Raw genomic sequence first — 10,023 nt, 5'->3', positions numbered from 1 at the left:
ATAGAATAGAATAAAATAAAATAAAATAAATAACAAAGGTTTAAACGAAGTAGCTGTTTTCTTTTTCTCTCGTGTAAAAAGCAGGTCTAGAGGCAGGACCTCAGTGGCTGGTGTGAAAGCTCCACAGAACCCAGCTTTCTTCTTTCTGTTCAGCTACCCTTAGCACTAAAGAGCTCCCTTTGGTTGACACAATGGAACACCGGACTCCACCCAGGTGTGGTGACCATCCTCCAAGCCTGAAGAAGGGCAAAGGTAAGAAGCACAAGGCAGCAGCCACTGAGTCAGCCCCCTATAAATGCTTTCTTGGAAGCCCAACCAATGGCTTCTGCTTACATCTCACTGGTTAAAACAGTGTCATGCAAAACAGTTTTGGGTGGCACACCCAAAATGAAATGGGATTTTATGAATAAGAAAGGGAGGAGGGATGTTGGTTAGTTAATGAGTAGTCTCCGCCACACCAGCGGCCACAAACTACTCACGTGAATGACCTTTCTTGAAAATGCCATGTTGCATGATTTTAGATTGCAATGGATCAAAGCAATCTAAAATCGTGCCACAACAGGTAATGAGTTCTGAAATAAAGACTCTTAAGATCTTGGCTAAAGACATTCAAACATTTGGAAATAAAAAGTCTGATGAAGTACTGCTTTAAAATTTGATTGCAAAAAAATGTAAAACTTTTCACTATTCTTAAGAGGAAAAATATAGGGAAATCATAAAGAGTAAAATTTATAGCATTTGCACAAGGCTGCACAAAATTTAATAATATTGTATGCGTTCATTTATTAGGGCCCACAAATGGAAATCTGACTATTTCCAAATGGTAACTGTTTCTAATCATTAGGATTGTGAGTTCTGATTTAAACAAAGAATAAAATTTTAACTATCTGAATGACACAAAATCTATAGCTCCACAATTTCATATCCACAGTTATGAATTCCCAAAACTTTTGAAAACTGAAAGCTTTTTTTGCGAATTGCAGCATCCTCTTAGGTGGCAAAAGCTGACCTGATGCCAGGTGCGGTGACTCACGCCTGTAATCCTAGCACTTTCTGAGGCCAAGGTGGGCAGATCGCTTAAGCCCAAGAGTTCAAGACCAGCCCAGGCAACAGGCGGAAACCTCATCTTTACAAAAAATACAAAAATTAACAAGGCGTGCTGGCACACCTGTAGTCCAAGCTACTCGGGAGGCTGAGGTGAGAGGATCACCTGAGCCTGGGAGGTCGAGCCTACTGTGAGTGGTGATCGTGCCACTGTACTCCAGCTTGGGTGACAGAGTGAGACTCTGTCTTAAAAAATAATAATAAAAAAAGCTGACCCAAACTGATGTGGGGATTCTTATAGTCTTTACTCCATTTAATGTGATTGTAATATTTAGCACAAAAATATTACGGCCTTTGATTATAGCGTGCTGCATGATGTTATTTTTTTTAACTCAGAAAATTAATCTGAATTCCAAAACAGATCTATCTCCACCTCCAGTTCTGTGAGGTAAAGATTTTACAAACTACACTACCTAATTAGTTCACGATTTGATTTGTTTGGAGATTCCTATTAATATCAAAGCTCATTCAAGGGATTATACATCATTGATTTGACCTAACTGCTTTTGTAATTTTTTTAAGTTTTAGATCTAAGAAACTGAACATGTTATTTCTGCCCATGTGCCTGTAGGATTTTGGTTTGCTAACAACCAGTTACTAAATTGAAAAAGGATAACTTTTTAATTCCAATCATGTTAAATTCTCACTTTAATAATGTTTTGCCTCATTTGTTTTGTTTTTTGTTTTTCTTTTTCTTTTTTCTTTTTTTTTCTTTTTTCTTTTCTTTTTTTTTTTTTTTTTTTGAGACGGAGTCTCATTCTGTCACCCAGGCTGGAGTGCAGTGGTGCAATCTTGGCTCACTGCAACCCCTGCTTCCTGGTTTCAAGTGTTTCTCCTACCTCAGCCTCCTAAGTAACTGGGATTACAGGTGCCCACCACCACACCCAGCTAATTTTTGTATTTTTAGTAGAGATGGGGTTTCACCATGTTGACCAGGCTGGTCTCAAAATCCTGACCTCAGGTGATCCGCCCACCTCAGCCTCCCAAAGTGCTGGGATTACAGGTGTGAGCCACTGCTCCTGGCCTCATTTGTTTTAAAAAAAAAAAAAAAAAAAAAAAAGGTGAGCACTGTTCAACTGATATAAAATGTAGTATTTTTTTAATCAAAAATATCAAAATCAGCACCATTAGAGAAAACTGAGGCAAATTGTTGCCTGAATTCCTCCTTTTCATTTTGTTTGTACTATGAATGATCTCAGATATTTGTGTCTTATTCATATTTATTTATGAACTGAGTCATAATCAATGGCTGTAACTATGTGAGTGAAATATGGATTTTTAAAAATATAATACCAAAACCCTGTAATGTAGCTATGTAAATTCAAAATTAGCATTGAGGGGTTTTTTTTCCCCTCTACCTTCTCTGGACCTTATCATTATCAAAACCTCTAAAATCTGGAAGTTCAACGTTCTCTGTCTTAAACACGGAATTCCTTTCTGTGGCCTACAAACCTCTGCAGGATCTCTCTCCAGTCTACATTTCTGATTTCATCTGATGCACTTCTTGATGTGCTGAAACCACACTGGCCTCATTTCCCTTCCTAGAATGTGCCAAGCTTCATTCTGCCTCAGGGCCTTCGCACATGCTGTAGCCTCTTCCTAGACTGTGACTTCTCCGATATTTTTCAAATGTGTCTCCTTGTCATCCTTCAAGCCTAGGTTAAGCCCCACTCCTCTAGAGACAACTTCCTTACCACCTTGTTTATTTATTTCCCTCCCTGTTATTCTCTAACACTGTACTGTTTGTTTTTTGAGACGGAGTCTCACTCTGTCGCCCAGGCTGGAGTGAAGTGGTATGCTCTTGGCTTACTGGAACTTCCACTTCCTGGGTTCAGGTGATTCTCCTGCCTCACCTCCTGAGTAGCTGGGATTACAGGCACCTACCACCATGCCCAGCTAATTTTTGTATTTTTAGTAGAGACAGGGTTTCACCATGTTGGCCAGACTGGTCTCAAACTCCTGACCTCAAGTGATCCACCCACCTCGGCCTCCCAAAGTGCTGGGATTATAGGCGTGAGCCACTGCGCCCAGCCCTGTTTGGTTTTTTAATAGCACTTAGAATAATGTGCAATAATATACACTTGACCCTTGAACAACACAGGTTTGAGCTGTACAGGTCCACTTATACACAGATTTTGTTTCAGTAAAAGTTACACAGAGTATTCCTGCCTCTCCTGCTTCCCCTTCCACCTCCTCCACCTCTGCCGCCCCTGCCACTCCTGAGACAGGAAGACCAAACCCTCCTCTTCTTTCTCCTCCTCAGATACTCAATGTGAGGACAATGAGGAATAAAGACCTTTATGATGATCCACTTCTGCTTAATGAATAGTAAGTATATTTTCTCTTCCTTATACTTTCTTAATAACATTTTCTTTTCTCTAGTTTACTTTATTGTACAAATTCAATATAGAATACATACAACACACAAAATGTGTGTTAATTGACTGTTTATGTTATTGGTAAGGTCAATAGTAGGTTATTAGTAGTTCAGTTTTGGGAGAGTTAAAAGTTACACAGAATATTTGACAGCATGGGGGATTGGCACCCCTAACCCCCACATACTTCAAGGATCAACTGTATTTGTTCACCTGCTATTTATCTGTCTCTCCACTAGATTATGAACTCCATGAAGGAGGAAATAAACTATCTACTTGTTCACTAATATATATATAGCACCAAGCATCATACCTGGCACATTCTAAGTTCTTAAGAACTGTTTGAATAAACAGCAAAAGAATTATTTATCTTATGTATTTCTGTGATAATCTCCACCAAAACATTTCATTCTACATATTATCTTTCCCAAAACAAAAACCAAAAATCCCTCAAATTGTGTATATCATGAATATGGTCTCAAAAACTCCAAAGAAAATTATCCCATAGGAAAGCATGTAATCAGAAGTATGTGTATCTTACGAAGTGCACAGAACATCCTAATCTACAGATAATAAAGTATATGAAGGTATATACACATATGGATGTGCATATCTAGGTATTTTCTTTACCATGGCTGTTCATTAAATATATCTGACCCCAAGTCCACTCAGATTGTCTACTTCACTTGGCAGTAGAACAAACGCAGGAGACGCGGCCCAGAGAGGGGTCTAGCTCAAATGCTATCTAAATTGGCCCAGGCCCCATGGCGGTAGGCAACCTGTCTAGTGAAAGTTCAAGGAGGTCTCACTAAAAACACAGTGAGTTCTACCTCCTGGCTTATCATGGACAGGCTCTGTTTATTCCAGCTGTCCTATAATTAGCCCTTTTCACTCTCAAAGTATCCTGTGTTAGATGATAAATTCATAGTCACCCTAGCTATATCTTTCTAAGAATGTTACCTATTAAGTGCCAGGCAGGGATACCAGACCAACGTGTGTGTGTGTGTGTGCGTGTGTGCGTGTGTGTGTGTATATGTATGTGTATGTGTGTGTATATGTGCATGTGTGTGTATGTGTGTGGTGTGTGTGGGGAGGGGAAGAGGTTGTGAAGAATGTAGATAATTCCCCACCCCTTTCTTAATCCAGTTCCTTTAAACCCTGTTCTCTTCTTGGCTTGTTAGAAAATTTAGTGGGCAAAGAATTTTTACTGAATATGTTGACACATGTATGCAGTATTTGACACATTACGATCTTTGTCGACTTTTCTGACTTTACATTAGCAAACATAGTCTTGCGTCTGTTTAACGTTCATTTTTTTAAAGTCTTAGATTTTGTCTTTATTTAAAAGCCCAGTTGCAACCACCAAATACCTGACTCAGCTCACAACTAGAGACCGAGCATCAAATTTCCCAGCCCACTTAATTTGAAAGCCTGCCAAGATAGGTGAAAGACCTTATAAATATGTAAAGCAGGAAGTTCGAATTACAGTCAAGTAAATCTCTAGTGATTGATGTTCTTTTCAAAACAATTTTAAAAAACTAATAATGACCAGCACATTTCTAAGACCCTCTTACCAAAGGTTTCCCCCGAATTCAGACTCAATGGTGTACTTTCAGTACTGTATTTATTTTGGATTTTTATCACTTCCTGGAGGCCAGGAGGAGGCACAGTGGGAGGATCCTAAAAAACTCAGTACCACAGCCATTTTGTTTGTAAGGCAGAGTGGTAGAATTCTGTCAGCCAGTAAAGGTTTTTGAAACAGTTTTTAAGGGGGGCGGGGGAGGGGGAGGGAATATGCCTATTGTTTTCATTTAACCGCTAAATTCATTATTTTATTTTACTTTTTGCACACATCGTAGTTACTGTGAGTAAGAAATTATATTTTTTTTCCCAAGGAATTAAAGATCTCGGAGCTAAAGGAGTCATGAATTTTGTTCCAGGATGACTGGCTTCTCTAGGTACCTTCATGAGATCAAATCGAAAAAATATTTTGATGGACATCGTTTTTACATGGCCAGGTTTGCATGCAGAGGATCTATCGAGTGGTTGAAAAGGATCAACAATCTGCTCAAGAAAAACATGATAATGCTGTTTTAAAAAAAAAAAAACAAAAACAAAAAACAAACAAAAAAACCCCACATCCAAGAAGCCAGAGTGTTCCTTCAGATGTTAAAAGGGGCATTCCCCCGAGCTCACAGGCAGCCGTGGGTGCTATTGTCTTGCAGTGTCACTTCATAGCGAGCTTAGACTTTTGTCATTTTGGTGGCTGTGCTTTTAAAAGCCCAGTGTAAAATGGCACACACACTGCATTTTTTTCCGAGCTGCAGGAGGCGGGGGCAGCGGGGGATAGTGCAGACTGTAGGGACACTGCCCTCCCAGCCAATCAGCGCTCGCCTGCTTGCCATCGCAAAGTTGTTAACCCCAGAGTCTTCTGGCTGTGCTGCCTCCTCTGCTTTTAATCTTCTGTGGATATTTCTCCGATTTCCCCCAAAAGCCCACAGATCCTGGGGGAAGCCACCCCATTCGGCCACCGATCATGGAAGAAAGTATTACTTTTTATTTACCAAACATTTTAAAGATGTTGGAAGATCCATATGCTGCCTGGAGGCTGTTGTTTCTAGGGACACAAGTATCCAGCCTATATTGTTACAATTTTTTTTCAAGAACTGCCGTCTTCTTTGCCTGCACTAATGGTAAGTTTGTAATTTTCACCATTTATGTCAGTCTTTGAAAGAGCCACCGGCTAAAAAGGATTTTCATTGTGTTTCTTCTAACAAAACCAATCTTTGTATTTTTCTTTAGCTTTGATCTCTGCACGTTCTACCTAATCTTGCCTGGTTAATTTTTACCAAAAGAAAAAAAAATAGTTTTTTTTTTCATTGTTAAAGCTAAATGTTTATAATATAAATTATACTTTAATTACTGTGAACTACAGAGGAACTCAGATATTTCAAGATGGACTTGTTTTGTGCCAGTAATGTTGGCAATGCCAAATATGTGCATATCCTCTTTATAAAAATTATGTCTTACCTAATTTGTCCAGGACTCAATTATCAGCAGGCAAACTATGGATATAGTTTTTTTTTAAATGGACCTATTGTGGTTCTCTTGATAGATTACTTGGATACAAACTACAGAAAAGCTGCCCTTGGTATAATGAAGGTGGAGGTTGACATAACCGGGTTTATATTAAGTTATGGCTGTTACTAAATAGTGGATCTTTTATTTGCTGATCAGATCTCAACTTGTAGTCTATGATATTATTTCTTTGAAGCTCTTCATTAGATAATCTTTGCAGGTCTATCTTGTTTTTCTCCTATACGGTACATTTGGGAGACATTTTGTAATTTTTGGCATTTTTCTAATTTTTTTTCTTTTTGCACACGGTGGGAGATCTTTTTTGTTTTGCATTGATCTGTGTTGGTGGCGCTGTAGTGCTCCTCAACAATTTATGTCAGTTTCACTAAAAGAAAAAAGGAAGAAAAAAAAAGAGGTGGGGCAAGATTTGATCTATTCTCTTCTCCCTTTATTTTCTTAAAGAAAGTTCATTTTAGTCAGTGGAAGTATTCAGTTGTGTTATTTAAATGTTTTCTGTGAACTGTGAACTATGGTGAGAGCAGACATGTCGTCACAACCAGCCGAGGGAACATCAGGGACAGGCATGCAGTTTGCAGTTGTTTTATCTGATCTGATTTATCATCTCTATATCAGAATTATTCAGTAATAAGCTGTCGATTTATCCTTTTAGTAACATTTTGCATTTTCCTTATATTACAAAATTATATGTGTTAGTGTATTTTCAATTTAACCAAATGTCTGAGTTTTAGTTCCTTCAACATTGTAAAAGTTGAATTTCATTTTGAACCTAGGGATTTCTTAAATAACTATTCTAAGTTTCTCCTGAGGTTTTTCTAATAAGTAGTCATATAATAATTCCCACATTATTGTTTGTTTCATTTTGAAATGATACTTCAACTGAATTACAGATAGTCTTGTTTTAAAAATAACAAATATTTTGGAATAAGATAATTTTTTAAGAATATGTGCACAATTGCTTTTGGCTTTAAAAATTTTGATGTTCACATATCTAAATGCAGGATTATATCTTTTCCATCTTTGTTCTTATTGAGTTATCTGATTAGAGAATGTGGGATTTAGGCCCAAAGCCTCCCAAGAACAAAAATGTGTTACGATCTGACATAGGTTTTACTGGTCTCTGTAAACATTTTAGCTGTTTATGGAGATAGTAAGTGTGCCCTTAGTTCAAAAAGAAAGTGGGACGAATCAGTAATTGAACCCTAAAGCGTATTTTTTTTGGTCACATAAAATAAAAACAACTGAAATAGTACACTAGACCACTTTTCCATAAGATTGAAGAGATTATTTTTTGAAAGAGTGAACATTTCAAGAATTATTATTTAGCGTGTTTACCCACTTTGAAATACGTAAATGCTCATTTCACTTTTTAATCATTTAACAGGTTGAAGTAAAAGGATGTGTGAAAATGGCTAAAAATAGTATTTCTGATTTTTGTGTCTCTATACTCTATCTATATATCCCTTTCCTTGAACTTCAAAAATAATTATGTATTAGCCCATATTTTGTTTATACTATGCCATAAAAATGTGAAAATGTTCACTGTAACATTTTAGCTATTCATAAAATGTAAATGCCCCATCAAGGCTAGTTTTTGACATTATAGATTATTTATAGAATGAAATACTGCAGGTGTAAATATATTATCTAACCCTCTGGTTATGCTGGAGAGTTTAGTTCTCTGAAGTTGATCTACCAAATAAAATATACTTTCCAACACATGTATTGCTAAAATAGTCTGCTATTCAGAATGGCGATAATTTTTATTTTATTTAATCTCTGAAAACTAAACATGTGTATATAAGGTAGCCCCCTTTTAAAAACAAACTGATGCTCTGAAGTCCATATGGAGCTATGCAATGCTCTTTGTTCTCCTACATCATTGACTATTACATCATTGATTATGAAGTAACTATTATAGTTAAATCTTCACTTTTAAAAATCCTTCATATATATTTATATGACTGATAACATTTTATATATGACTCTTACATCACTAAGTATTTAAGGAGGTTGAAATCTATGAGGCAAAAACAGTTCACTATTTTATATTATTCTCCATTTTAAAATCCACCTTGAGCTTCATTTTAGCTCTTGATTCCTTGAACATTATTTTTTTTAATTGATAACATTTTTATAGAAATGTAGTTCATGAGCTTGGTGTGATTGTGATTAGAATTATAACAAATTTTTGGATTAAAAACCTTTATTTATTAAATTTAGCAGATAGAGAACTAACTCAGTCTTTCATGGTAACAGTTGCTAGATCATGGACAATAAAAAATTATTTTAAAAAATTCCCAAAATGTCATTTTAGTCAACAGTTACACACTTATTTCTTTCTTGAACACCATTTTATCAGATAATAGCAAGTAGCAAAATTTACTATATTGTCATATCATTTTTCTCATCCTGCCCATCCCTCTGATGGAGGGAGGGGCTAATGAGTAGTGAAATTACCAAAAAACAGGTTGCAGAAAGCAGAAAGAAATAATGCCAAAGACATGGAGAATCTGTAAATCAAATTAGAAACAATAAACCTCAGAAAAATGAACTTGAAATTAAGGAGCTCAATCAATAACAAATAAACTGAAAATTATATTAAGACAATGTAATGAACCAACACAATTTCCTAATTTATTAACTTGCATTCATTAGTATTGTTAAAGACTGAGGAAGTTTCAGGTTAGCCAAACTCATTAGATGATAGGTAATGGTAGGGTAAGGTAACAAAGGGAAGAAAGATTTAGAGATGTTAAGGTGACCAAACATAAAATGCTAAAAATATTAGCCAGGGCTAATCTAATCTACCTTGGAATGAACTTTTTTAAAAGAAGAAAATATAAAATAAAATTCTATCCTGTGAAATCACGCACAATATAGACCTGAAATTGTCTGTTTCCAATTCTACCCACTTCTCATGCATATTTACCTCTGTTATTTGCTAGATGTGTTACTACTTTCCATAAGACGATACAGATACACCACTGTCCTCCTCAGCATGGTTTTGCAAAAGAAAACAAGAGGAAAATGATACACAAAATGTGTGTTTGTGTTATGACTTTGTTTTTGATCTTTCCAAAATGATTATCAAATGGAGAATCTAAAGGGAAAGTAAAGCAGATGTATAATTTTATAAATATTTTTATGAAAAAGATAAAAGCAGATTTTATAATTGATTTGTTCAACATTTGTTTCTATTTTTATTCGGGGGTTTGTTTATTCTAGATCTTCCCCCATCTATTATGTATCATTCTGATAAGATGCTATGATGCAATATTAAGCAAAAGAGGCAAGGATTCCTGCTGTAATGGAGTCTACACTCCAATGTGGTTAGAGTTCTAAAGATACTTTAAATCTAAGGTCTTAGATGTGTGAGATTCCCAAATGAAGGCCAAATAATATTTTTAGAAAAAAAATATTTTTTTAATTTAGATCTGTTTAAATA

The 10,023-nt window shown here is 36.1% G+C and overlaps 1 protein-coding gene across 5 annotated transcripts in view, besides 3 other annotated features; it reads left to right on the top strand.

The window, feature by feature from the left end:
- Positions 4,822-4,923: a silencer, noted in NCBI's record as "fragment chr10:32668668-32668769 (GRCh37/hg19 assembly coordinates)". NCBI's record gives its function as "represses an EF-1alpha promoter that drives an FKBP-Casp9 reporter gene in an ReSE screen in phorbol 12-myristate 13-acetate-treated (for megakaryocytic differentiation) K562 erythroleukemia cells {active_cell/tissue: K562(+PMA)}" and the evidence as "EXISTENCE:reporter gene assay evidence [ECO:0000049][PMID:32094911]".
- Positions 5,298-5,798: an enhancer, noted in NCBI's record as "H3K27ac hESC enhancer chr10:32667793-32668293 (GRCh37/hg19 assembly coordinates)". NCBI's record gives its function as "activates a minimal SCP1, AML or CMV promoter by ChIP-STARR-seq in primed H9 embryonic stem cells {active_cell/tissue: H9 hESC(primed)}" and the evidence as "EXISTENCE:reporter gene assay evidence [ECO:0000049][PMID:30033119]".
- Positions 5,799-6,299: an enhancer, noted in NCBI's record as "H3K27ac hESC enhancer chr10:32667292-32667792 (GRCh37/hg19 assembly coordinates)". NCBI's record gives its function as "activates a minimal SCP1, AML or CMV promoter by ChIP-STARR-seq in primed H9 embryonic stem cells {active_cell/tissue: H9 hESC(primed)}" and the evidence as "EXISTENCE:reporter gene assay evidence [ECO:0000049][PMID:30033119]".
- EPC1 (enhancer of polycomb 1) overlaps positions 5,894-10,023 on the top strand; it is a 111,019-nt gene continuing 106,889 nt past the window's right edge. For all 5 annotated transcript variants that reach the window (NR_168508.1, NR_168506.1, NR_168507.1 and 2 more), the window contains exon 1: positions 5,894-6,172. Coding sequence is in view for 2 of the 5 variants with exons in the window: in NM_001282391.3 (NP_001269320.1) it covers positions 6,170-6,172 (3 nt within the window). In the remaining 3 variants the exon portion in view is untranslated. The remainder of the gene's footprint in view (positions 6,173-10,023) is intronic.

The sequence above is a fragment of the Homo sapiens genome, chromosome 10, assembly GCF_000001405.40.
Source record: "Homo sapiens chromosome 10, GRCh38.p14 Primary Assembly".
In the NCBI taxonomy this organism is placed as follows: domain Eukaryota; kingdom Metazoa; phylum Chordata; class Mammalia; order Primates; family Hominidae; genus Homo; species Homo sapiens.
This window is presented reverse-complemented; position numbering and strand designations above follow the sequence as displayed.